The following is a 26,519-nucleotide window of genomic DNA, read 5'->3' on the forward strand; positions in this document are numbered from 1 at the left end:
CATATAGGGAAGTGTGGTCACAGAACACCAGGCATCTGCCTAAATCCAGTGTCACTCAGAAGGCTGAGGTCACTCCTGTCCAGGGCCAGAATCTGTCCTAACTTCAAAGGTTCTGCATGGGTCAAGCACTAGAGTCACTGGCACACTTGGTGCTGCACATACAGTCAGTGTCACACAAACATAACCACACATCCACTCTTTTATTTTTTTGAGACAGGGTCTCGCTCTGTCACCTAGACTGGAATGCAGTGGTTCAAACACGGCTCACTGCAGCCTTGACCTCTCAAGCTCGAGATCCTCCCACCTCAGCTTCCCGGGTAGCTGGGACCACAGGTGTGGGCCACCACACTCAGATAATTTTTAATTTTTTGTTTGTTTGTTTTTGAGACGAAGTCTCGCTCTTGTCCCCCAGGCTGGAGTGCGATGGCGCGATCTCGGCTCACTGCAACCTCTGCCTCCTGGGTTCAAGCGATTCTCCTGCCTCAGCCCCCTGAGCAGCTGGGATTACAGGCACCTGCCACCACGCCCAGCTAATTTTTGTATTTTTAGTAGAGACAGGGTTTTATCGTGTTGGCCAGGCTGGTCTAGAACTCCTGACCTCAGGTGATCCACCCGCCTCGGCCTCCCAAAGTGCTGGGATTACAGGTGTGAGCCACCGTGCCAGCCATTAATTTTTTTTTTTTTTTTTTGTACAGGCCAGGCTGGTCTCGAACTCCTGGGCTCAAGTGATCCTCCCACCTCGGCCTCCCAAAGGGCTGATGTGAGCCACCACACCCGGCCCTACATCCACTCCTGAGACACAGGACACAATCACAGACACCTCTATACCTTTCCAGTCACAATATCTTTCCAGTCACAATCACACACCCGCTAAGACACACCCAGTCACACAATCTACTCTCCACTGTGATACAGTTACTCCCGTATAGTCACAAGCCCCACACACCAACACCCACAAATGCCTCATATAGTCACAGTCACACACCCACTCAGGGGACACACGCCATCACTGGTACTTTACGGCACCCAGTCACAACTGAACTTTCACTGTGGACATACACACAGTCACACTCACACAAGCAACCCACACAAGCAGTGGCACCCCACTCCCGCATACACAGCACCACACACATACACACAAACACACACACCAAGGGATACAGGAATACACAAGCGGCGTCACCACACAGTCACAGGCACAGGCAATTGCACACGGCCACAGTGTCACACAACCAAAACCACGCACACACCTTGGAGACATGAATCACAACCGCACACCCGCAGTGGTCACACAGTCACAACTGTACTCACACCCCAGGAACAGGGCGAACAGGCCACATATACAACGGGGACACACGCAGTATCACCCCCGGTCACAAGGACCCTGCACCCCGATACTCTCTATCACACATGGTTACACAAAAACCACCAGACACCCTGGAGACAGGCGGTTACACGTGCACAGTTGCAGACACCCACACCCAGCCACACAGCCACAAAGACACATTCAGAACGGCGCATCCGCAGCCAGCTCCCGCCTGCGCGCACAGATTCGAGGCTCCGGACACGCCCCGGCCCCGCCCAGGACTCCCAGACCCCTCACCTTCTGCCTCCCCTGGTCGCGTCCGGGTCCTTGCGGAGCTAACTAGCTCGCCACGACGTCAAGAACGACGTAACGTCAGGCCGCTGTGGGCTCTGGGAATTGTAGTCCAGAGCTAGATCGGCCACGGACAGAATGGCGTTCTCTTATCTCTGAGTCGGGGCCTGGCTCGTTTTGACATTTTTGCGCCCACGAGTCTTCGGAGAGGGCGTCGCCACTCCAGACCTTCCAGCAAGCTTGAAGTCATCTGACGCTAAAGGACTACTTACCTCAAGAGCTCCATCGTCACAGAAGGAGGCGGCCAAGTTCGCGGGGGGAGGGGAGGAGACAGAGAGTCGACCAGTAAAGCCTCAAGGGAAATGTAGTCCAAGGCCTGAGAAGCGACGTTGCTGGTAATAGAAGGTAATTCAGTACCAGCCTGGGCCTGGCCGCGGTGACCGAGGCGGGCCGCGTCGCGGAGACTTCTGGGAGTGCTTCCTCGCTCTCCGAGTGCGCAAGCGCAGCGCACCGAGTGGACATTTTGGTCTTTGTCCGCGGGTCAGTACGGCCCCTGGGTCCACGTGGCGCGAAAGTAGGAGGTGGGATCTGGGCGTCTCGGGTCGGTCGGACCGGGGAGGTTAAAGGGGAGGATTCCTGATCTTTAGGGGCGCGGCGCGAGGGCAGGGAGTGGGTGTAAGAGCTTCTGGCCTACGTGCGGGGCGGAGATGGGGGCCTCTGAGGCGGGTTTGAGCGAGTGTGACCGAGTTTGTCCTCAAAGTTTGACCTGATGTTTGGGATTGTTGAGTGAATGTGAAACTGGGTGCGGGATTGTGTGTGATTGTGCCTAAGAGGGAGATGTAGGAGACCAGCATTGAGGTATAACGTTTGAGCTGCACTTCCCTTGTCGAAAGTGCTGATAATTATAACGGTGCCATCTTCCTGGAGCGTCTTTTTTACTTGAAAATTGAAGGGGTGGAAAAGCTAAGTGGTGAATAATTTTAAAACGAGTTTTTATATAAAAGCATTTCTTTTTAATTGGAGTGGCATGCAAATCACCGTGACTTTTTTTTTTAATTAAACGAGAGTGTTTCGAAGGAACTTTAGTTTCGGGGTGCCTACTTCAGACTATTCAAATCCCCATCTTTGGGGTACTTAAATAGGGCTGTTAAGCAAAGCCCTAGACTAAACAGCATTGTACGCTTTGAGAAGCAATCCCATATAACGGCGCCCAGGATGAGGGAGTCAACGGTTTTAGGTTAGGCACAGTTATCCTCATTTTTTGAAGAAAGCTTAATTGTTGCAGTGTTTATCTATGAGTCTGGACTAAATCCTAGGTGTCTTAATTCCTTAATGAGTCGAGGCGTTCTCAGGTTGTATGGATTTTGTGAAGTAATGGAGAATGCTACTGACGTCTCCAAAGATGCGTTTTCTAAGGAAATCACCCCGCCCCCGCTGTCGTCATTGACATAGTTTTAAATTACAAAAAGTTAAATAAAGTAATTGGGTACCAAGTTAATATCTATAAATAAATAGCCTTCTAATTTACAAATATCAGTTAGAATACATAGTTGAAGAAAACTAATATTTACAATAGCAGTAAAAAGATAAAGTATTGTGGAAGAAACTTAAAGGTTCAGAACTATTAGGAAAGAACTTTAAAATACTACTAAGGGGCATAACAAATGTGAACAAATAAATATACCATGTGACATTAAGAAGTGTGCGCAAACTTAAGTGAATGTATTAATTTACTGTGATCTTGGTCGGGTGCGGTGGCTCATGCCTGTAATCCTAGCACTTTGGGAGGCCGAGATGGGTGGATTACCTGAGATCAGGAGTTCGAGAGGAGCCTGGCCAACATGGTGAAACCCTGTCTCTACTAAAAAAAAATAAAATAAAAAAATACAAAAATTAGCCGGGCGTGGTGGCGGGCGCCTGTAATCTGAGCTACCGCGGAGGCTGAGGCAGGAAAATCGCTTGAACCTGGGAGGCGGAGGTTGCAGTGAGCCCAGATCTCGCCACTGCACTCCAGCCTGGACAAGAGCGAGATTCCGTCTCAATAATAGTAATAATGTGATCCTAATAAAAGTATGGACAGGCTTTTCTCTTTTGGAACTAGGGGAACTGATCCTAGACTTACTATGGAAAGAGACAAGCTGCAAGAGCCAGTACAGACTGAGAAAGAAAAGGCGTTGAGGTGTGGGGAGATGGGGACCCAACACATTTTAAATATAAAGCCTCAGGCCGGGCTTGGTGGCTCACACCTGTGAGCCAAGGCAGGAGGATGGCTAGAGTCCAGGAGTTAGAGACCAGCTTGGGCGACATAGTGAGATCTCCCGTAGTCCTAGCTGCTTGGGAGGCTGAGGTGGGAGGATCACTTGAGCCTAGGAGGTCAAGGCTGCAGTGAGCAGAGATCCTGGCGACAGCATTCCAGCTTGGTGGACAGCCAGTCCCTGTCTTTTTTTTTTTTTTTTTTTTTTTTTGAGATGGAGTCTCTCTCTCTTGCCCAGTCTAGAGTGCAGTGGCCCAATCTCTGCTCCCTGCAACCTCTGCCCCCCAGGTTCAAGCGATTCTCTTGGCTCAGCCTCCCGAGTAGCTGGGATTAGTTGCCTGCCACCACACCCGGCTACTTTTTTTGTATTTTTAGTAGAGACAGGGTTTTACCATGTTGGCCAGGCTGGTCTTGAACTCTTGACCTCAAGTGATCGGCCCGCCTCGGCTTCCCAAAGTGCTAGGATTACAGGCATGAACCACGGTGCCTGGCCGACCCTGTCTTAAGAAAGAAAGAAAGGAGAGAGAGAGAAGAAAGAAAAGAAAAACAGTTCATGCCCATCAGTGGGAGATTGGTGTACATCGATACAACAAAATAATACATAGCTGTACAAAAGAATGAGGAGGAAGCTCTTTATATACTGAGACAGAAATAACTTCAAAATGTATTGTTAACTGAGAGAAAGCAAGGTGCAGAATGTAGAGTATGATACACGATGCATTTGGAATAAGAAAAGGGGTAATAAGAATATGTATTTATAATCCCAGCACTTTGGGAGGCCAACGCAGGCGGATCACCTGAGGTCAGGAGTTTGAGACCAGCGTGACCAACATGGAGAAACCCCGTCTCTACTAAAAATACAAAATTAGCCAGGCGTGGCGGCACATGCCTGTTAATCCCAGCTACTTGGGAGGCTGAGGCAAGATAATTGCTTGAACCCGGGAGGCGGAGGTTGCAGTGAACAGAGATTGCGCCATTGCACTCCAACCTGGGCAACGAGAGTGAAACTCCATCTCAAAAAAAAAAAAAAAAATTCAAAAGATACATACGAAATAATAAAACTGGCTGTTGGGGTGGGGGTACTGGAATAGACAGGGCAAAGGCTTTGTATTTTTAGTAGAGACGGGGTTTCACCATGGTGACCAGGCTGGTCTCGAACTCCTGACCTCATGTGATCTGCCTGCCTCAGCCTCCCAAAGTACTGGGATTACAGGCATGAGCTAATTTTTTTTTTTTTTTTTTTAAATTAAAGGAAGACATAGGCCAAGGAGCCAGACTTCCTGTGTTAACTCCTTCCTCTGCCACTTTTTACCTTGGGGACCTCAGGTAGGTACTTAAACCTTGGGCCTCAGTTGCTCATTTCATAGTATAGAAATAATAGCAATATTTGATTCAAAGGGTGGTTGTGTAGCTCCAGAAGTTAATACATGTAAAGTTCTAAGAATAGTCCCCAGTGTGTAGTAAGTACTTGATTAATGTTAAATACTAGTACTTTTTATTACTAGCTGCAAAAAAAATGCTTCCTCAGAAAATATTATAGTCCTGTGTCTGGTAGGAATTTCTGAAAGAATAAGATATGTAGATGCACTTTTGTTATTAATATTTCTTTTTTTTTTTTGATGGAGTCTCACTGTCGCCCAGGCTGCAGTGCAGTGGCCTGATCTCGGCTCACTGCAGGCTCTGCCTCCCTGGTTCATGCCATTCTCCCGCCTCAGCCTCCTGAGTAGCTGGGACTACAGGTGCCAGCCACCACGCCTGGCTAATTTTGTTTTTGTATTTTTAGTAGAGATGGGGTTTCACCGCGTTAGCCAGGATGGTCTGGATCTCCTGACCTTGTGATCCACCTGCCTCAGCCTCCCAAAGTCCTGGCATTACAGGCGTGAGCCACTGCGCCCGGCCTAATATTTCTATATTTTAATTTTTTTACTTAAAATTTTCTTTTTTTTTGGTGGAGGGGGGGACAGAGTCTCGGTTTGTCGCCCAGGCTGGAGTGCAGTGGTGCTATCTTGGCTCACTGCAAGCTTCACCTCCCAGGTTCACGCCATTCTCCAGCCTTAGCCTCCCAAGTAGCTGGGACTACGGGCGCCCACCACCACGTCCGGCTAATTTTTTGTATTTTTAGTAGAGACGGGATTTCACCGTGTTAGCCAGGATGGTCTCCATCTCCTGACCTCGTGATCCGCCCACCTCGGCCTCCCAAAGTGCTGGGATTACAGGCGTGAGCCACTGCGCCTGGCCACTTAAAATTTTCTGTGGATATTTCCTTTTTTAACTGGAATCAGGAAGTTAGGTTTGTTTTTTGATTTTTGAGATGGGGTCTCACTCTGGCTCAGGCTGGGTGCACTGGTGCGATCACATCTCATTGCAGCCTCCACCTCCTGGGCTGAAGAGATCCTCCCACCTCAGCCCCACCCCCGCAGTGGTTGGGACTACAGGTGTGTGCCACCACGACCTGCTAATTTTTAAACCTTTTTTTGTAGAGATGGAGTCTTACTATGTTGCCCAGGCTGGAAGTTAGATTTCTGTGTTTGAGTTATGTTTATCTTTAGAAAGTCATCATTATCCGCTCCTTTGGAAGATTTGTTCTTTGATTTCTATGATTACTTTTGCATGGTTCTAATTCAGAATCTCTGATGATTTTTTTTTTAATTCTAATTGTGATTGATTTTTGGCCAGAATACATCAGAGGTGATCTTACATACTTCAAATTGCATACCATTAGGAGAGATATACCAGATGGCTGGTGATTGTTACTTCCCTTTGACCAAAATGTTATGTTTACTTTGGTTCATTCTCCATCAGTCATTTAGTGGATGGTTTTAAAACCAATACATAATTCTTGGCTGGATGAGTAAATTTCTACAGGTATTGTAAAGTGATGATTTTCTGTTTTTTTTGTTGTTGTTGTTTGTTTGTTTTGTGTAAAAATGTAGTAGTCTATACGTTAAGAGAAACTTCTGGGAACAAACTAGAAATGATCCCTGGAAGTATAGTCTTAATTTCTCTTGTCTTTTCATTCCTTTTACATTTGTTTCATTGTTACATCAAATTGTATCTTTTTTTCCCCCTGGCTTTTTCTTTCTTAAACATCATCCTAAAGTTGTGTATATTTAGCGTGTTCTAGAATCAGCTGCACTTTTTGATGCCAGTGGATACCCCTTCAGGTCATTCTTGTCTCATTTTGGCTGACATCATTGATCTTGGAAAGTTTTCCTGCACTGCAGGCTTGTATCTTCCTCCCAGACTTGGAATTGACCATTTCTCCAAGGAGCTCTGGTTCCTTTTATTGGAGAATGGTATTAGAGACAAGATCAAGGGTGTGCTCATTGCCCAGGGGTAACATTGTTTTAAGGCCATTTTAAATTGCAGAGCATTTAAAAAATACATTTTTAATGTATTTTTAAAAATCATGAGTCCATATTCGTATTTCTAATTCACTTTAAATGGTATAGTATTTTTACCTAATTTCTTAGCTCCTAGTTCTTTTTTTTAATTTAATTTTATTTTATTTTTGAGACGGAGTCTTGCTCTGTCGCCCAGGCTGGAGTGCAGTGGCACGATCTCAGCTCACTGCAATCTCCGCCTCCTGGGTTCAAGTGATTCTCCTGCTTCAGCCTCCCGAGTAGCTGGGACTACAGGTGCATGCCACCACGCCCAGCTAAGTTTTTGTATTTTTAGTAGAGATGGGGTTTCACCGTGTTAGCCAGGATGGTCTCGATCTCCTAACCTCAGGTGATCTGCCCACCTTGGCCTCCCAAAGCGCTGGGATTACAGGCGTGAGCCACGGCGCCCGGCCTCCTAGTTGTATTTTATAGTAAAAAATATGAAACAAGTTATAAGTACTTATTTTGTTTGCTTTATCCTGCAATATAAAGAAAATGGTTTCAGTAACAATGCTGATACTAGTAGTAACCATAAACATACTGTATCATGTTAAAAAATTCTTTCTTTAATATATGTAACTATTTTTGTTCTTAAAATGCATCTTTTTTTTTTTTTTGAGATGTTGTCTTACTCTTTTGCCCAGGGCAGAGTGCAGTGGTGTGATCTTGGCTCACTTGCAACATCTGCCTCCCCAGTTCCAGCGATTCTCCTGCCTCAGCCTCCTGAGTAGCTGGGATTACAGGTGCCCACCATGACGCCTAGCTAATTTTTGTATTTCTAGTAGAGACAGCGTTTCACCATGTTGGCCAGGCTGGTCTCGAACTCCTGACTTCCTACTCGTCTTGGCCTCCCAAAGTGCTGGGATTTCAGGCATGAGCCACTGAGCCCAGCTTTTAAAATGCATCTCACTAAAGATGTATGTAGTCAAAGAACTCTGTTCTAAAGTCATTTGAAATCGTTTTTCTGAGGAATTATGTTACTAAATTAACATACAGTTGGGTTCATTTGTTGTTTTCAGGTTAAGGGACTGCTTTTTTTTTTTTTTTTTTTTTTGAGACGGAGTCTCACTCTGTCCCCTAGGCTGGAGTGCAGTGGCGCAATCTCGGCTCACTGCAAGCTCCGCCTCCCGGGTTCACGCCATTCTTCTGCCTCAGCCTCCCGAGTAGCTGGGACTATAGGTGTCAGCCACCACGCCCGGCTAATTTTTTGTATTTTTAGTAGAGACGAGGTTTCACCATGTTAGCCAGGATGATCTTGATCTCCTGACCTCGTGATCCACCCGCATCAGCCTCCCAAAGTACTGGGATTACAGGCTTGAGCCACCGTGCCTGGCCAAGGCACTACTTTTTAAAAAATGAATTTGATTACTATTGAAGTAAGTAATGCATTTCTGTGATTCAACAAAGATCTATCTCACAGAGATATCTCATTCTGCTCCCTTCCCCCAGTCACATTCTTCTTTGTCTTATGTAAACATGTCTTGTTTTTTTTTGTTTGCTTCTTGTTTATCCTTCAAGTGGGTTTTTTGTTTTTTGTTCTGTCACTATTATATATTTCTCTTCACTCCTGTTTCCCTCCACCTTACATAAAAGATAGCATACCACATGCACCTCCCTATATCTCACTTTCTTTAATAACAGTATGTCCTAGAGATAGCCCTTCCTTTTTTCTTTCTTTTTTTTTTTTTTTTTTTTTTGAAATAGTCTCGCTCTGTCACCCAAGCTGGTGTGCAATGGTGTTAACATGGCATACTGCAGCCTCCAACTGCTGGGCTGAAGTGATCTTCCTGCCTCAGCCGCCTGTGTAGCTGGGACCACAGGCACACTCCACCACACCTGGCTTTTTTACTTTTTGTAGAGATGAGGTCTCACTGTTTCCCAGATTGGTCTCGAACTCCTGAGCTCAAGCAGTCCTCCTCTCTTGGCTTCCCAAAGTGTTGGGATTACAAGTGTGAGCCACTGCACCCAGCCAAGGTGTTCCTTCTTAATCATAATCTTTAAAAGAAATTTTTTTTTCAGCTGCTGTATAAATAAGATGTCATTATTTGGATGCACCATGGTTGATTCAGTTAATCCCGTTGTTGAGCATTTGGATTGTTTCCAGTCTTCTGCTGTTGCTAACAATGCAGTAATGAATAATTTTTTTATGTGCGCCATTTTATACTGACACAGGAGTAGCTCTAAACTAGACTGCTATTAATACAAATGGCGCTGCCCAGTGGGTAAGTACTTACACTCCCACAAGCCATGTGCGAGAGCGTCTTCCCCTTAAACTCACCATGAGTGTAGTGTCGAATATTTGGTATTTCGCTAGGGACATAAGAGACAATCTGAACTTCAGTGTAGGTTTCATTTACATCCCTTCTTATGAATGAGAATTTTTTTTTATATGTTTAAAGGCCTGTATGTATTAATCTAGGAACTGTCTATTCATATCCTTTTCACCATTTTTCTATGGGGTGTCTTCTCCTTAGAGGAGCTGTTTATAAATTAGAAAGGTTAGCCCTGTATGAAATGAGTGGTGGCTTTTTTTTTTTTTTTTTTTGAAGTTTTCATTTGCATTTGGACATTGTTCACAGTGGTTTCTTTTTTTTTTAATCTTGCAGAAATAAGAGGTTTTGTTTTAATTTAGTAATAATAGTTTCTTTTTTTACATAGCCGTGCTTAGAATGAGCCCCCTGTGGTTGGTGAGCACAGAGACATCCCCGCACCACACCAAAGACCTTTTTATTCATGTATTTTTTAGAGGCACAGTCTCACTGTGTTGCACAGGCTGGCCTTGAACCCCTGGGCCCAAGCAAGTCTCAGACTCCCAAGTAGCGGGGACTACAGGCAGTGCACCACCATGCTGCTATGGTTTTCTTTTTATTTTCAAAACTTTTGGCTGGGCGCGATGGCTCACGCCTGTAATCCCAGCACTTTGGGAGGCTGAGGCGGGTAGATCACTTGAGGTCAGGAGTTTGAGACTAGCCCGGTCAACATGGTGAAACCCCGTCTCTACTAAAAATACAAAAAATTTAGCCAGTCATTGTGGTGCACGAGATCACACCACTGCACTTTAGCCTGGGCAACAGAGTGAGACTCCGTCTCAAAAAAAAAAAAAAATCTAGTTACATTTTTTTCTTTTTGAGATGGAGTATCTCTCCGTCCCCCAGGCTGGAATGCAGTGGTGCGATTTCGGCTCACTGCAAGCTCCGCCTCCCGGGTTCACGCCATTCTCCTGCCTCAGCCTCCCAAGTAGCTGGGACTACAGGCGCATGCCACCACGCCTGGTTAATTTTTTCGTATTTTTAGTAGAGACGGGGTTTCACCATGTTAGCCAGGATGGTCTCGATCTCCTGACCTCGTGATCCGCCCGCCTCGGCCCTCCAAAGTGCTGGGATTACAGGCGTGAGCCACCGCGCGTGGCTGATTCATCAGTCTTTTATGGTTATCAGACTTTTCCACTCTTAAGTTTCACCGATATTTTCAAATTCTTATAAAGTTACAGTTTTTTGTTGTTTGATTGTTTTAGAGTTGGATCTTGATCTGTCACCCAGGCTGGGGTGCAGTGGCGTGATCACAGCTGACTGCAGCCTTCATATCCTCGCTAATTTAAAAAAAAAAAAATTGTAGAGATAAGATCTCCCTGTGTTGCCCAGGCTGGTCTCAAACTCCTGGGCCCAAGTGATCCTGCTACCTTGGCTTCCCAAGTCAGAGCAATAGTTTTTTTAAGATTTTGTTTTTATTTTAATTTATAATCCATTTAGATTTTATCCTGGTGTATGCTATCAGATATGCATCCAGCTTTACCTTTTTCCAATTGGCTACCACGTTCTTTGACATCATTTATTAAAAGGTCTTACCTGGCTGGGCACGGTGGCTCACGCCTGCAATCCCAGCACTTTGCAAGGCCAAGGTGGGTGGATCACTTGAGGTCAGGAGTTCGAGACCAGCCTGGCCAATATGGAGAAACCCTGTCTCTACTAAAAATACAAAACATTAGCTGGGTGTGGTGGCACATGCCTGAATCCCAGCTATTCGGAGGCTGAGACAGGAGAATCGCTTGAACATAGGAGGGCGGAGGTTGCAGTGAGCTGAGATTGTGCCACTGCACTGCAGCCTGGGCAACAAGAGCCAAACTCCATCTCACACACATTAAAAAAAGGTCTTATGTTTACTATTTTTAGGATGCCACTTTGATTATATACTAAATTCTCACATTTATTTGGTCTGTTTCTGGGTGTGAGCAGAAAGACTGAGGACACTGCTATAGCCCAGGTGTAACAACCAGGGAAAATATTTATCTTTTTACTATTGAGGCTTTATCATTGTGTTTTACTTTGTGGTATAGCTAGTCTCTTAATTGCTCGTCCTTTTCAGTGTTTCCTGGCTATTCTTGCCTGTTTATTTTTCTTTGTAAATTTTAGGATTAGCTTGTCTCGTTCCAGAGGGGGAAAAGGTAGAACTAGTTTGTTACTTTTATTGGGATTGCATTAAATTTATAAAATAACTTGGGAATAGGGACATTTTTATGACATTAAATATTCCTCTTTATGTACGTGATACGTATTCTCGTTTCTTTTTGGGTCCTCTAGGGTGTTTTAAAATTTTTTTCATACAGGTTTGGACACTTCTTACTAAGTTTATTTCTGGATGTTTTGTTTTATGTTGCTATGAATGGAGTCATTGTTGGCATATATGAAGCTGTTGATTTCTACATACTAATATTATTCCCTGCTTTCCTTAGTTATTTGTAATTAGATTATATAATTGAGGCAGTAGGCATCCTTGTCTGTTTAGAATCTAATAGAAATGCCTTCAGTGTTTTTCTATTACTTTTATTATCATGATTTGCTTTTCAGTGTTTTTACATTAGATAAGATACTGGCTTTTGTGGTCAGATACAGATTATGATTATATAAATATAGATTACCCATGCTGCCTGGGTCAGTGGGAGTGTGAGCAGAAAGACTGAGGACACTGCTAATAGCCAAGGTGCAACAACCAGGGAAAATCTGTTGATTGAGGAAACAACAATCCCTCAAAATTTCGTTATTGCATCCTTAAACAAAAAATCAAATGGGACAAAAATAAGATGTCTATTCCTATTCTTCTGTTTTCTGTCGATTCCCTTCTTTTGGGTGACTGTTTCTTTACTCATTTCCTCTGTTTATCTTTTGTGGTCTATTTATAGCTTTGCTTCCTTCTTAAAAGTTTTGTGTCTTAAGTTCATTTTGTTATGTTTCAGTTTTCATCTGCTTTGTGATTCTTACTTTTTTTTTTCTGGCTCACTGCAACCTCAACCTCCTAGGCTCAAGCAGTCCTTTTGTCTCAGCCTGTCAAGTAGCTGGGACTACAGGTGCATACCACCATACCTGGCTAGTTTTTTTGTATTTTTTTTTAGTGCTAAGCACGCTGGTCTTGAACTCCTGGGCTCAAGCAGTCTACCCACCTCAGTGTCTCAAAGTGCTGGGATTACAGGCATGAGCCACCAAGCCCTGCCCCTGCTTTGTGATTCTTTTTTTTTTTTTTTTTTTTTTTTTTGAGACAGGGTCTTGCTTTGTCACCCAGGCTGGAGCACAGTGGCATGATCACGGCTCACTGCAACGTCCACCTCCCAGGCTTAAGCAGTCCTCCTGCTTCAGGCTCCCAAGTAGCTGGGACTACAGGCATGTACCACCCCACACCCTGCTAATTTTTGGATTTGAATTTTTTGCAGAGATGGGGTCTTGCCATGTTGCCTAGGCTGGTCTTGAACTTCTGAGCTCAAGTGATCCTGCCCACCTCAGCTTCCCAAAGTGCTGGGATTAGTGGCATGAGCCACTGCGTCCAGCCCACGGTAACATTTCTCCCTGTGTCTTCAGCAGCAGTAATAGTCTGACAACTGGCAAGTTCCCATTTCTGTTCTAGCCCTATTCTGAGCTCCTGATCTGTATATCCAACTGCCTAATCGATCTCTCTGCCTGCATGTGTTCAGAAACCTACACTCTGAATGTATAGAGTCTCAAACTTGATCTCCCTCCTGCAAGTTGCTTCCAGCCAACTCACCTTCTCGTGTTTCTGTCATGTATGTTTCGGTTTAAATCATGCTCTAAGCCTTATATCTCTGACACACCCCATTAGGAATTGGGTGATCAAGCTTTTTCAACATACATAGTGGATGGGGGGTATATATGTGAAACTTAAATTTTTTATGATTATGCTTTTTTATATGATTACAACTTTATAGAAGAGTTGGAATAGTACAGAGAAGTCCCATGTATCCTTTACCCAATTTCACCAATCATTTACATTTTGGTTGTTTTATTTTTCCTTCTCTCTTTCTCCAAATGTGTATGATTTTTTTTTCCTGAACGATTTGAAACCAGTTGTGGACATGCTTCCTTTATCTATAAATACTTCAGCATGCATTTTGCAAGAACAAAAACATTCTTTTTCATAACTACAGTACAGTGATCAAAATCGGGAAGTTTAACATTGATACATTAGTATTATTTAATCCAAAGTCCATATTCAAATTTGGTCAGTCATCCCAATAATGTCTGCTATTGATTAAAAAAATTCTTTTGGGCCACGTGCAGTGGCTCACAACTGTAATCCCAGCCCTTTGGGAGGCCAAGGCAGGTGGATCACCTGTGGTCGGGAGTTTGGGAGTTCAGCCTAACACAGAGAAACTCCGTCTCTACTGAAAATAAAAAATTAGTGGGGCATGGTGGCGCATGCCTATAGTCCCAGCTGCTCCGGAGGCTGAGACAGGAGAATCACTTGGACCTGGGAGGTGGAGGTTGCAGTGAGCCGAGATCGCACCACTGCGCTCCAGCCTGGGCAACAAGAGTAAAACTCCATCTCAAAAAAAAAAAAATTTTTTTTTTGGCTGGGCGCAGTGGCTCACACCTGTAATCCCAGCACTTTGGGAGGCAGAGGTGGGCGGATCACCTGAGGTCAGGGGTTCAAGACCAGCCTGGCCAATGTGGTGAAACCCTGTCTCTACTAAAATTACAAAAATTAGCTGGGTGTAGTGGCGCATGCCTGTAATCCCAGCTACTCGGGAGGCTGAGGCAGGAGAATGGCTTGAACCCGGGAGGCAGAGGTTGCAGTGAGCAGAGATCACGTCACTGCACTCCCAGCCTGGGCAACAGAACGAGTCTCTGTCACAAAAAAAAAAAAAAAGATTTTTTTTTTTCTTTTGGAGTGCAGTGGCTATTCATAGGCATGATCATGTATTTGCAGCCTGGAAGTCCTGGGCTCGAGTGATCTTCCTGTCTCAGCCTCCTGAGAAGCTGGTACTGCATGTGCACACCACCACACCTGGCTTAAAAATGTTTTTTGAACTAATGGATGAACCTGTATTCCAGGTTGTTGCTTTTCTTTTTTATGACAAGGTCTCACTCTGTCAGGCCATCTTGAACTCCTGGGCTCAAGTCATCCTCCCACCTCAGCCTCTTAAGTAGCTGAGACTACAGGCGCACACCATTGCGCCCAGCTAATTTTGTATTTTTATAAGGACGGTGTGTCACTGTGTTGCCCAGCCTGGTCTTGAACTCCTGCACTCAAAACGATTCACCCACTTCCGGCCTCCCGAAGTGTTGGGATTATAGGTGTGAGCCACTGCACCTGGGCCAGGACATCTCTAATATGAAATAGGACACGGCACGGTGGCTTACATCTGTAATCCCAGCACTTTGGGAGGCTGAGGTGGGTGGATCACCTAAGGTCAGGAGTTCGAGACCAGCCTGGCCAACATGGTGAAACTCTGTCTCTACTAAAAATACAAAATTAGCCAGGTGTGGTGGTACACACCCATAATCCCAGCTACTCAGGAGGCTGAGGCAGGAGAATTGCTTGAACCCAGGAGGCGGTGGTTGCAGTGGGCTGAGATTGCACAATTGCACTCTAGCCTGGGCAACAGGAGTGAAACTGTCTCAAAAAAAAAAAAAAAAAAAGAAAGAATTTCACTCTCAGTATAATGCAAAGAGGGTAAATAGGACTTCAGGAAAATGTTTGAGTTTTTATTCTTGAGTACTGTCAGAACAACTTCTTCACATTGTGCCCATGTGCTTTAGTTCTGATGGGAACGTGTTAAAGTCAGACATGGGTGTTGAATTCATCCACGAATAAGGGCTGTAGTTAAAATCCTCTCAGGACCCTGAGTGGGAGTGTGGTGCTAGAGAAAAACAGCAATCACTCACACAAGGTGTGAACAGCTCTCCTGTGTAAGTAAAATTCTGAAAGGTAATTCTCCCTTTCTCCCATTTCTGGATGTGTGTAGACTTTAAATGGTTTAATGAGCATGGCTTTGAAGTTTAGGATTCTAATGGCCCTAGTCCCTTTGCCCACATGATTGTGTGTGCTTTAGTCACTAAGGCAGAAGGTCATTACTTTGTTCTGTGCATCTTTGGAAGTTGCACCCTCATTCTTCAGAAGGCCAGGAGACCCCAGGGCTCAGCCTGAGTTCTAGGATGGTACTTTGGACCCAGCATTAACATTGTAATACTGTGTCATTTTCCCAATAGTTAATATGATCCTCTGTTGAAGCAAGAAGACAAACTGTATGGTGGAGAAAGAAGTGGGAAGGATCTGCGCGGGTGAGTAAATGACAGGCAGGCCACAGTTTTTCAGTCAGCATTGAGTCCTCTGAAGTGCTTCAAAGGATGTTTTCTTCCAGGCTGTAGACATATAGAGTATTGCTTGGTATGAGATTTTTAGATTCCTGAATGACGCTTCCAGTCATCATTTTTGTGTGTTTCATTATTCTTCTTCTTTCACCAGATTCTAGAGGGGCCAGGCGCCCCTCCTGTTGCTGTTCTGATGTCAGCCTTCCTGCTTCGTCTGTGCCGCCACTGTGGTGGCTGTTCTCCTTCATCCACATACCTTTTCCTGTCCTCACACATTGTCCTTTATACTTTGTAAAACCTTACATATTGTCTGATATTCAGGTTCCTTTTTGTTACTACCTTCTCTCATCCTTTCTAGTGGCTGAATGCCTCAGAATTATATTTTACACCTGTTCTCACACTTCCCGTTGTCTTCTCACTCATCTCTGCCATCGTAGATCCATGGACTCCTCTGCCTACCTTTCTTCTGCTCCCATGTACCTCTGTCATAAGTTGTTGACCTAGAAATCAGTTTTTCCCTCTGCTACTTTTATGTGTGGGGGTCTATATGTATGGCACAATTACAGCTCACTGTGGCCTCAGCTTCCTGGCCTGAAGTGGTCCTCCTGCCTCAGACTCCCGAAAAAATCTCCTCTTAACTCTTGACTCTTAGTCCTGCAGTTTTTTTGCAAAGTTGTGGTCACGTTTACGCGTGTCACGTATATCCTTCTTGAGGTAACCTAGGAATAAGCCAGTATATTATATCTATGCTGCAAATATATATACATATAAGCCCTAATTTTTCCTTTTCATATAAATGGTGGTATATTATATATTCTATTATGTACATAAGTTTTTTTCTTAGAATTCTCTGTCAACACATAATTTGTTATTTATTTTCATTTTTTTGAGACAGAGTTTTGCTTTGTCACCCAGGTGGCAGTGCAGTGGCACAGTCTTGGCTCACTGCAACCTCCGCCTCCTGGGGTCAAGTGATTCTTGTGCCTCAGGCTCCCGAGTAGCTGGGATTACAGGCATGTGCCATCACACCTGGCTAATTTTTGTATTTTTCATAGAGATGGGGTTTTGCCATGTTGGCCAGGCTGGTCTCCAACTCCTATCCTCAAGTGATCTGCCTGCCTCGGCCTCTCAAAGTGCTGGGATTACAGGTTTGAGCCACCGCGCCTGGCTAACGCATAATTTAACCTGTCTCCTACTAATGGGCATTTAGGTTGTTTTCAGGCTTCTGCTATTGAAGACACAAGTGTGTATACTTGTTTATATTGCTTTGCAGAAATATGCAGAAACAACTACATAGCATTTACTTTTTAAGTGGAATACAGGGTCAAAGTTATGTTTATAAATTTAATTGAGATAAGCACATTGCTCTCAAAAGAAGTAAACCCATTTACGTTTCTACCAAGCTGATATATTCACATCCTACAAGTATTTATTGCATGATATGTATTAGGTACTATTTCAGATGCTAGGGAAATGTCAGCTATCAAAACAGTCAAAAATTTCTTCCTCCTAGGGACGGTGTTATAATGGGGAGACAGACAATGAGTAAATACTTAAAAAATGTATACTATCAGATAGTGATAAGTGCTATGGAAAAGAATAAAGTAAGGGAAAACCGGTATAGAGAGGGCTAGTTGGGGTTGTAATTTTAAATCAGCTTGGTGGGGAAAGGTCTCACTGAATGCCATTTGAAAAAAGATCTGAAGAGTGCGAGAGTGGGCGTGCAGCATTGGGTGGAAGATCATTAGCCAGAAGGAACAAAAGTGTTAAAAGCCCTAAGTCAGGAGAAGCTTGCTGTCCTGTTCAGAGAATAGTGATCAGGGCCGTGGGCTGGAAGAGAGAGGGCAAAAGGGAATAAGAGTAGCAGTGGTTAGGTAACAGGTCAAATCACAGGTTTCAACATTGATTCTGAGTGATTTGGGAGACCCAACAGAGGGCCAGCCTTCCTTCCTTTTCCTTTTCCTTTTTTTGAGACTGAGTCTTGCTCTGTCACCCAGGCTGGAGTACAGTGGTGCGATCTCGGCTCACTGCAACCTCCACTTTCCAGGTTCAAGCGATTCTCCTGCCTTAGCCTCCCAAGTAGCTGGGATTACAGGCACCTGCCACCACGCCGGCTAATTTTTGTATTTTTAGTAGAGTCGAGGTTTCACCATGTTGGCTAGGGCTTATATGTATATATATTTGCAGCATAGATATAATATACTGGCTTATTCCTAGGTTACCTCAAGAAGGATATACGTGACACGCGTAAACGTGACCACAACTGACTTTGGGAGGCCAAGGCAGGTGTATCACTTGAGGCCAGGAGTTCGAGACCAGCCTGACCAACATGGAGAAACCCTGTCTCTACTAAAAATACAAAAGTTCTTCTTTTTTTTGAGACATAGTTTCACTCTGTTGTCCAGGTTGGAGTGCGGTGGTGCCATCGTGGCTCACCGCAGCCTCTGCCTCCCGGGTTCAAGTGATTCTCCTGCCTCAGCCTCCTGAGTAGCTGGGACTACAGGTGCCCACCACCACACCCGGCTAATTTTTGTATTTTTTTGGTAACCAGTTTTCACCATGTTGGCCAGGCTGGTCTTAAACTCCTGACCTCAAGTGATCTGCCCGCCTCAGCCTCTCAAAGTGCTAGGATTACAGGCGGGAGCCACTACACCTGGACTCATTCTTAAGTTATAATTAACTATAATATCAATTCTTATTTTGGCATCTCCAGAGTTTCTGTCTTGCCTTACACAACTTTACCTGTTTATGGGACAGACAGCTGTCTAATTTCATTCTCATTGTGTCAGAATGCTACCCAAATTAAAATTTTCATCCTATTATTTTCAGATCCAGAGATTACCTCAGACCAGTTTCATGTTATTTCTGGATTATTTCTTTTCCCATGGTCTTTGTAATAGGATCAGTCAAGCCTTAAAAAGACACACTAAGCTCTCTTTAATAGAGAACAAAGGGCCAGGCACGGTGGCTCACATCTGTAGGCGAGGCGGCAGATCTCTTGAGCCTAGGAGTTCTAGACCAGCCTGGGCAGCGTGTTGAGACCCCGTATCTTTTTTATTTAAAAAAAAAAAGGCCAGACTCGGTGGTTCACCCCTGTAATCCCAACACTTTGGGAGGCCGAGGCAGGCAGATCACCTGAGGTCAAGAGTTTGAGACTGGCCTGGCCAACATGGTAAAACCCCGTTTCTATTAAAAATACAAAAACTAGCTGGGCGTGGTGATGCACACCTATCGTCCCAGCTACTCGGGAGGCTGAGGCAGGAGAATCGGTTGAACCTGGGAGGCGGAGGTTGCAGTGAGCTGAGACTGCACTCCGGCCTGGGCAACAGAGCGAGACTCCATCTCAAAAAAAAAAAAAAAAAACATACAAATTATGTGACTACAAATATGAACATATTTCTTTCTCTTTATAAAATTTTTGAATCTTGGCCTTTGATTATGAAATATTCTACTTATGTAGGTACTACTTATATAAACTTGAATTCAGTTTTCATTAAAATGTTTGTTACTTCTGCCTTTTTTCCTCTTCCCTCTGCTTGTCCATTACTTCATATTTTCCAGAGGAACTTACAAGTTCTCAGCAAATGATACCTTAAACATGGTTTTAGATTTTGCCGTCTATAGTCTGCATTATAATCCGGTTAAAAGGAAGGTCCATGTTTTATTTTTCTGATCAGTAGTTTGAGAACGCATGAGTTGCTGTTAAATAATCTATGAATTTTTTGTGTGGAAATACTGATCAGTTCTTTTTTCTTTTTTCTTTTTTTTTTTTTTCCCGAGACATAGTCTCCCTCTGTCACCCAGGCTGGAGTGCAGTGGTGCGATCTGGGCTCACTACAACCTCCACCTCCCGGTTTCAAGTGATTCTCCTGTCTCAGCCTCTTGAGTAGCTGGGATTATAGGAGCATGCCACCACATCCAGCTAATTTTTTGTATTTTTAGTAGAGACGAGGTTTCACCATGTTGGCCAGGCTTGTCTTAAACTCTTGGCCCCACAGTGCTGGGATTACAGGTGTGAGTCACCATGCCCAGCCATTCAATTATTTTTTCATATGAACATTTTTTAAATATAACAAATGCTGAAGGAATAGTTAAAGAATCTCTTATGTACCCCCCATGTGGATTGAATAATTAATATTTTGCCACGCTTTTGTATGTCCGTATCCATGTGTTTATTTTGTGTGCTGAGGCATCATGATGTTTTACTTCTAAAAAATTAAATATGTATTTTCTACCAAGAAAAGCAGCTCCTGGCCAGGCGTGGTGGCTCACGCCTGTAGTGCCAGCACTTGGGAGGCAGATACGGGCAGATCACCAGATGTCAGGAGTTCCAGACCAGCCTGGCCAACATAGTGAAATCCTGTCTCTACTAAAAATACAAAAATTAGGCGTGGTGATGCATGCCTGTAATCCCAGCTACTTGGGAGGTTGAGGCTTCAAGAATCACTTGAAGCCAGGAGGCCGAGGTTGCAGTGAGTCGAGATCGCACCACTGCACACCAGCCTGAAGGGGTGGGTTTCCCCTCCACAGCTGTGGGCGTTTCTCGTCAGGTGGAAGGACTGACTTGGAAAAGAAAGAGACACAGAAACAAAGTATAGAGAAAGAAAAATGGGCCCAGGGGACCGGCGTTAGGGAGGACCTGCATACGGAGGACCTCTCAAGAGGACCGGCCTCTTGAGTTCCCTTAGTATTTATTGATCATTATCGGGCGTTTCTCGGAGAGGGGGATGTGGCAGGACAATAGGGTAATAGTGGAGAGAAGGTCAGCAGGAAAACGTGAACAAATGTCTCTGCATCATAAACAAGGTAAAGAAAAAAGTGCTGTGCTTTTGATGTGCATATACATAAACATCTCAATGCCTTAAAGAGCAGTGTTGCTGCCAGCATGTCCCACCTCCAGCCCTAAGGCGGTTTTCCCCTATCTCAGTAGATGGAATATACAATCCAGCTTTACACGGAGACATTCCATTGCCCAGGGAAGAGCAGGAGACAGATGCCTTCCTCTTATCTCAACTGCAAAGAGGTCTTCCTTTTTTACTAATCCTCCTCAGCACAGACCCTTTACGGGTGTCGGACTGGGGGACGGTCAGGTCTTTCCCTTCCCGCGGGGCCATATTTCAGACTATCACATGGGGAGAAACCTTGGACAATACCTGGCTTTCCTAGGCAGAGGTCCCTGCGGCCTTCTGTAGTGTGTTGTGTCTCTGGGTACTTGAGATTAGGGAGTGGTGATGACTCTTAAGGAGCATGCTGCCTTCAAGCATTTGTTTAACAAAGCACATCCTGCACAGCCCTTAATCCATTTAACGCTGAGTTGACACAGCACATGTTTCAGTGAGCACAGGGTTGGGGGTAGGGTTACAGATTAACAGCATCTCAAGGCAGAATAATTTTTCTTAGTACAGAACAAAATGGAGTCTCTTATGTCTACTTCTTTCTACACAGACACAGTAACAGTCTGATCTCTCTTTCTTTTCCCCACACAGCCTGGGCGACAGAGCAAGACTGTCTCAAAAAAAAAGGGAGCTCTCCCATATAACAAAATACCGTTTCACACCTTAGAAGATTAACCATGTTGTCCTAATATTAGACTACCCAGTCTATGTTCACATTTTTCCAATTGTCCCCAGAATGCCTTCCATAGTTTTTTAAAATTACAGAATGTAATCAGGGTTCAAGCTTTGCATCTGGTTGCTCGCCACCACGCCCGGCTAATTTTTTGTATTTTTAGTAGAGATGGGGTTTCACTGTGTTAGCCAGGATGGTCTTGATCTCCTGACCTCGTGATCCGCCCACCTCGGCCTCCCAACGTGCTGGGATTACAGGCGTGAGCCACTGCGCCCGGCCAGCCAGCATCTTTTGTCTTCAGCTGCAGAATGGTGCTGCAGGTCTTACCATATATGTGGGTTTAATCTCTGATTTCCGTATAGCAGCTCATTCCTGTCATCTCATTTGCTGAATGCCCCTGAGCTCTGATTAAAATTCTGCAGGGGATAAACTTCCATTTCATATGAAGGTGTGTCCAGTCCTTTGTTCTCGTGACTGGACAGTGCATGTTCAACTGTTCCTTACACTTTTTTTTCAGCCACCATCCTTTATTCCTTTTGAATAAGGGAATTTGTACCATTTTCTCCTTATAATTTTAATGGGGTTTTGGGAGGAAGCACTTGTTGGTTGATCTATTCCTTTTCTTAGAAAGATGAGCATTATTTAGCCAGGTATGGTGGTGCACACCTGTAATCCCAGTTACTCAGGAGGCTGAGGCTAGAGAATTGCTTGAACCCAGGAGGCGGAGGCTGCAGTGAGCCGAGATCGCACCACTGCACTCCAGCCTGGATAACGAGCGAAATTCCGTCTCAAAAAAAAAAAAAGAAGAAAGAAAGATGAACATTATTTTTCTTCCTTAGCATCCCAGGTAGACTTTCTAATTTTCATCTTTTTCTTCTATTTGGCAATTCTTCATTATTTGTTATACAACTTGCTAAATTCTGAAATGGAAAGGTTATTTTTCAAGAGTACTTTCAGCTTTGTGGACCCATGAATGTTAATTTTCTACCTAGATCACCTCAAGTAGGGTTCCCTTCTCATAATTTAGTTGGAAGCATTAATAATATAGATTATTTTCATATTGGGAGATGGGCTACCAGAGTTAATCTCAAAAAATTTTATTGCTAGTAATGGGAAAATTAACAAATAAAAGTGATAGTAATATAAAGGTAAAATGAAGGGCTTACCATATGGCAGCCATGGTTCTGGGCACTTTATGAATTTAACTCCTTTGTGCTATGGTTCTTTGTACTCCATTTTAGAAGAAGCCTGAGAAGATGATGCACAGATAGAGAGGCACCAGGACTTGAGAGGCACCAGGACTTGGGAGGCATGTTGATCCATCTCCAGGAAAGACTGAGAAAAAGAGCGTTGAATATAAGAAAAAATACTTCCTCTGTTCTCAGATCGTATTTGTTTTAAGGCCACACCTTTTTGAAGTTTTCAGTTTGAAACACAACCTGGACTGAAATCATGAGGGAGGTTGTGTAGGAAAGAATCATCAAGGGACTTAGTTGGGAGCTTCTCTACCACAGCTTACTCCTTATGGTATTAACCCCCTTTAAGTGTAAATGTCTTTGGTTTAAAACGTTTGTACCTCATCTGTTACCAGAGTGTTCATACTGGAGAGAAACCCTATGAATTTACTGAATGTGGGGGAACTGTTACTCATATGTTGCATTTCGTCGAACGTGCAAGTCATGCTGAAGAGAAACCCTGTGCTTCTAAGGAGTATTGACAAGCCCTTAGCTAGATGACAATCTCATTGAGAAGCAGAAAATTCATGCTGGAGAGAAACTAGTGAAGGTAGCAATACTTCATTGAATATTAGAAAATTTTTCTAGAGAGAAAGCATTGAATATACTGAGTATGATAACATTTCCTCTCAAACCTTATCCCTTACTCTGCATTTGGGAGATCATACACAGAGAAGCCTTATAAATGTAAGAGATGTGGAAATATCTTCAGCCAAAAGTAAATCCTCACTCATCAAGAAATTTTTACTGGAGAGAAACCTTGTGAATGTGGGAAAGCTTCCATTCAGATGTCACACCTCAGCCAGCAGAGAATTTACAGTGGGGAAAACCCCTTTGCCTGTAAGGTATGTGGAAAAGTCTTCAGCCACAAATCAAACCTCACTGAGCATGAGCATTTTCACACGAGAGAGAAACCTTTTGAATGTAACGAGTGTGGAAAAGCCTTTAGCCAAAAGCAGTATGTCATTAAACATCAGAACACCCATACTGGCGAGAAGCTTTTCGAATGTAATGAATGTGGAAAATCATTTAGCCAGAAGGAAAACCTCCTTACGCACCAGAAAATTCACACTGGAGAAAAACCTTTTGAGTGTAAAGATTGCGGGAAAGCTTTCATTCAGAAGTCAAACCTCATCAGACACCAGAGAACTCACACAGGAGAGAAGCCCTTTGTATGTAAGGAGTGTGGAAAAACCTTCAGTGGCAAATCCAACCTTACTGAGCATGAGAAAATCCATATTGGAGAGAAGCCTTTTAAATGTAGTGAATGTGGAACAGCCTTTGGCCAGAAGAAGTACCTCATAAAACATCAGAACATTCACACTGGAGAGAAACCCTATGAATGTAACGAATGTGGAAAAGCCTTCTCTCAGCGAACATCACTTATTGTACATGTGAGGATTCATTCAGGTGATAAACCTTACGAATGCAATGTTTGTGGAAAAGCCTTCTCTCAGAGCTCATCTCTCACTGTGCATGTGAGAAGCCATACAGGGGAGAAGCCCTATGGTTGTAATGAATGTGGGAAAGCTTTCTCTCAGTTCTCAACCCTTGCTCTGCATTTGAGAATACACACAGGTAAGAAGCCTTATCAGTGCAGTGAATGTGGGAAAGCTTTCAGCCAGAAGTCACACCACATTAGACACCAGAAAATTCATACTCACTAAAAACCCCATGAAAGCCTTGAAAGTGGGAAAGCTTTCATTAGAAATTTGCACCTCATCATGCCCCAGAAATAATCCTTCTGAAGCAAAGCACCACGAATGAGGTTAACTTTAACAAGTACTAAAAACTTAAGGGACACCAGAAAATTTGTACTGAAGAGAAAGACATGCATATGATTAAAACCCTGTGTCCAACAGAGAAACCTGCAGCAGAGATAATGGTGAAAGTTTAGGCACATTTTCACTAAAAGTGGGAACAGAAAATGGAGGCCTGTTTTTTATTGCTACCACCATAGATCTGGAGATCTTCGCCAGTAACAAGAAAAATTAAGTTGTAAATATTGGAAAGGAACAGACAAAAATAGATGACATGGTCATCTACAACTAATATTAAGACTCCTGTGGTATTGATTGAGCAGAGCAGAAGAGATTTCAAAAAAAGACCTATGCATTTATTAGAATTTGGAATATGATACAAGTGGCATCAGGAAATGAGGAAATAATGGAACTATTTTTTTTAAGTGGAGGTAGTTTGTTCTCCAAGGGGGAAAAATAGACCATGAACTATACACAAAAGTGAATCCAGAGATTAAAAACAGAAATATGGAAAAGCTATGTACTAAAATGCATATGACCTTGGGAATAGGGAAACATTCCTTGGAACAATTTGAGAAATACTTAGCGGTTCTACTTATGAGTATGAATGCTCAGGAAATACGCACTAGGATATTTACTGTGGCTTGATTTGTAGTAGCCAAAAATTAGAAACAACTGAGAAAGCCCATCACGAACAATATGGGAAATTCTTATGTAATACTATATATCTGTAAAATGCAACAAATGAAATCCACATGTATTAACAGAAAGATCCCAGAATTGTTGAGGGGGGATCAAGTTGCAGAATGATACAGATAGTACAATGACTTTTTTGTAAATTTGAATTAAAAGTTTCCTCATAAAACTCAGTACTATCTATTGGTAATGGATGCATATATGTATGTACATGTTTTTGAAACGGATTGGAAGGATACAGACCAAACTCTTGATAGTGGTCACCTGTGAAGAGTGGAGAAGGGAAAATAATGAGTGTGGGAGGTGGGATGGGTATTGGTTAAAGGGGACTTCAGCTTTTTATATAAACATCCACTTCTCTTTCAAAAGACTTCAAGTAAATATAAGAAGATACTGATTGATTCTGGATTGTGGTATAGGGATATCTTGTCTTATTTTTTGTACTTTTCTGTATTTTTAAAATTTCTCAAAATAGGAATGGGAGTGAGGATGGGAATGCTGTATCTGTGGAAGTCATGTTATACTGGATTCATTTCCAATTAAATACTAAACATTTTATAGAAAATATTTCTAAAATTTTATCACGGATGAATGGATGGACTTGCTCTCTATGTAATATGAAATTAATCTATTTTATTAAAATTTAAAAGGACAGCACAATCCAAATCTGTTTTAATTATTTTAACATGGCATACACACTATATCGGGGTCCCCAGCTCCCCCCAGCTGCATGGCAGGAGGTGAGTGGCGGGTGAGCGAGCATTGCCACCTGAGCTCCACCTCCTGCCAGATCAGCGGTGGCATTAGTTCTCATAGGAGCGCGAACCCTATTGGGAACTGTGCATGTGAGGAATCCAGGTTGTGCGCTTCTTATGAGAATGTAACGCCTGATGATCTGAGGTGGAACAGTTTCATCCTGAAAACATCCCATCCCCATTCTTCTACCCCCACAAACCGTCCGTGGAAAAATTGTCTTCCATGAAACAGGTCCCTGGTACCAAAAAGGTTGGGGACCGCTGCACTATATGATCTCTGTCTTCGTATTTCTAACATTTTGCAGAATGAGCTTAGAAAACTTTAACTTTTTCTTTGTTCATACATGCACAGGCTTCATATAATTGGTCTTTTTCAGTTAGGCTGATTTTGGAATGTCAGTTTTCCTCTCCTGCATATTTCCATGGGAAACGTGTGCATTAAATATTAAATTTTTGATAATATCTTTTTTTTTTTTTTTCCCATCTTGCTCTGTTGCCCAGGCCAGAATACCATGGCAGGATCTTGGCTCACTGCAATCTCCTCTGCTTACTGGGCTCAAGCAGTCCTCCGACCTCAGCCTCCCAAGTAGCTGGGACTACAGGCACGCACCACTATGCTGTGCCAATTAAAAAAAAAAAATTGTAGCGATGGGGTCTCCGTATATTGCCCAGAT

At 43.6% G+C, this 26,519-nt stretch overlaps 2 protein-coding genes and 1 long non-coding RNA gene across 18 annotated transcripts in view, besides 5 other annotated features; 1 reads left to right on the plus strand and 2 right to left on the minus strand.

Annotated features, from left to right (window-relative positions):
- Nucleotides 1-26,519, minus strand: part of ZNF565 (zinc finger protein 565) — a 63,869-nt gene that overhangs the window by 30,959 nt on the left and 6,391 nt on the right. For 2 of the 7 annotated variants that reach the window (XM_017026343.2, NM_001042474.2), the window contains exon 1: nucleotides 1,870-2,066. The exons of 1 other annotated variant lie outside the window; for it this stretch is intronic. The gene's annotated coding sequence lies outside the window, so the exon portion shown is untranslated. Of the gene's footprint in view, nucleotides 1,648-1,869; nucleotides 2,067-26,519 lie in introns of those variants that run through there. 4 more of the 7 variants (NM_152477.5, NM_001366190.1, XM_011526512.3 and 1 more) reach the window with 3 other exon arrangements.
- Nucleotides 1,602-2,031: an enhancer, noted in NCBI's record as "active region_14520". NCBI's record gives its function as "activates an Ori minimal core promoter by ATAC-STARR-seq in GM12878 lymphoblastoid cells {active_cell/tissue: GM12878}" and the evidence as "EXISTENCE:reporter gene assay evidence [ECO:0000049][PMID:35858748]".
- Nucleotides 1,705-25,750, plus strand: ZNF146 (zinc finger protein 146). 10 transcript variants are annotated; one of them, XM_047439367.1, is made up of 5 exons: nucleotides 2,088-2,178; nucleotides 5,104-5,177; nucleotides 12,936-13,055; nucleotides 15,730-15,801; nucleotides 22,641-25,750. In XM_047439367.1, exon 5 carries the CDS (start codon nucleotides 23,423-23,425, stop codon nucleotides 24,299-24,301), a length of 879 nt encoding a protein of 292 aa, XP_047295323.1. In that variant the 5' UTR covers nucleotides 2,088-2,178; nucleotides 5,104-5,177; nucleotides 12,936-13,055; nucleotides 15,730-15,801; nucleotides 22,641-23,422; the 3' UTR covers nucleotides 24,302-25,750. The 10 variants fall into 10 exon arrangements, with proteins under 10 accessions (XP_047295322.1, XP_016882736.1, XP_047295323.1 ...); XM_047439368.1 differs by having other exon boundaries at nucleotides 2,088-2,137; XM_047439366.1 differs by lacking the exons at nucleotides 2,088-2,178; nucleotides 12,936-13,055 and adding an exon at nucleotides 1,705-2,002.
- Nucleotides 2,142-2,331: an enhancer, noted in NCBI's record as "active region_14521". NCBI's record gives its function as "activates an Ori minimal core promoter by ATAC-STARR-seq in GM12878 lymphoblastoid cells {active_cell/tissue: GM12878}" and the evidence as "EXISTENCE:reporter gene assay evidence [ECO:0000049][PMID:35858748]".
- LOC107985304 (uncharacterized) lies at nucleotides 15,208-22,734 on the minus strand. The gene is made up of 2 exons (XR_001753933.3): nucleotides 22,566-22,734; nucleotides 15,208-16,550 (listed from the first exon to the last, which is right to left on the minus strand). It is a non-coding gene; the product is annotated as an uncharacterized LOC107985304 (long non-coding RNA).
- Nucleotides 20,554-21,056: an enhancer, noted in NCBI's record as "NANOG-H3K27ac-H3K4me1 hESC enhancer chr19:36724474-36724976 (GRCh37/hg19 assembly coordinates)". NCBI's record gives its function as "activates a minimal SCP1, AML or CMV promoter by ChIP-STARR-seq in naive H9 embryonic stem cells {active_cell/tissue: H9 hESC(naive)}" and the evidence as "EXISTENCE:reporter gene assay evidence [ECO:0000049][PMID:30033119]".
- Nucleotides 21,057-21,558: an enhancer, noted in NCBI's record as "NANOG-H3K27ac-H3K4me1 hESC enhancer chr19:36724977-36725478 (GRCh37/hg19 assembly coordinates)". NCBI's record gives its function as "activates a minimal SCP1, AML or CMV promoter by ChIP-STARR-seq in naive H9 embryonic stem cells {active_cell/tissue: H9 hESC(naive)}" and the evidence as "EXISTENCE:reporter gene assay evidence [ECO:0000049][PMID:30033119]".
- Nucleotides 23,356-23,556: a silencer, noted in NCBI's record as "peak3458 fragment used in MPRA reporter construct". NCBI's record gives its function as "represses an SCP1 promoter by STARR-seq MPRAs in K562 erythroleukemia cells {active_cell/tissue: K562}" and the evidence as "EXISTENCE:reporter gene assay evidence [ECO:0000049][PMID:32103011]".

The sequence above is a fragment of the Homo sapiens genome, chromosome 19, assembly GCF_000001405.40.
Source record: "Homo sapiens chromosome 19, GRCh38.p14 Primary Assembly".
Taxonomy (NCBI): Eukaryota; Metazoa; Chordata; class Mammalia; order Primates; family Hominidae; genus Homo; species Homo sapiens.

Excerpts from the sequence above, each read along its gene's own strand:
- ZNF146 (XM_047439366.1), top strand. The coding sequence starts at position 23,423 with ATGTCACACCTCAGCCAGCAGAGAATTTACAGTGGGGAAAACCCCTTT.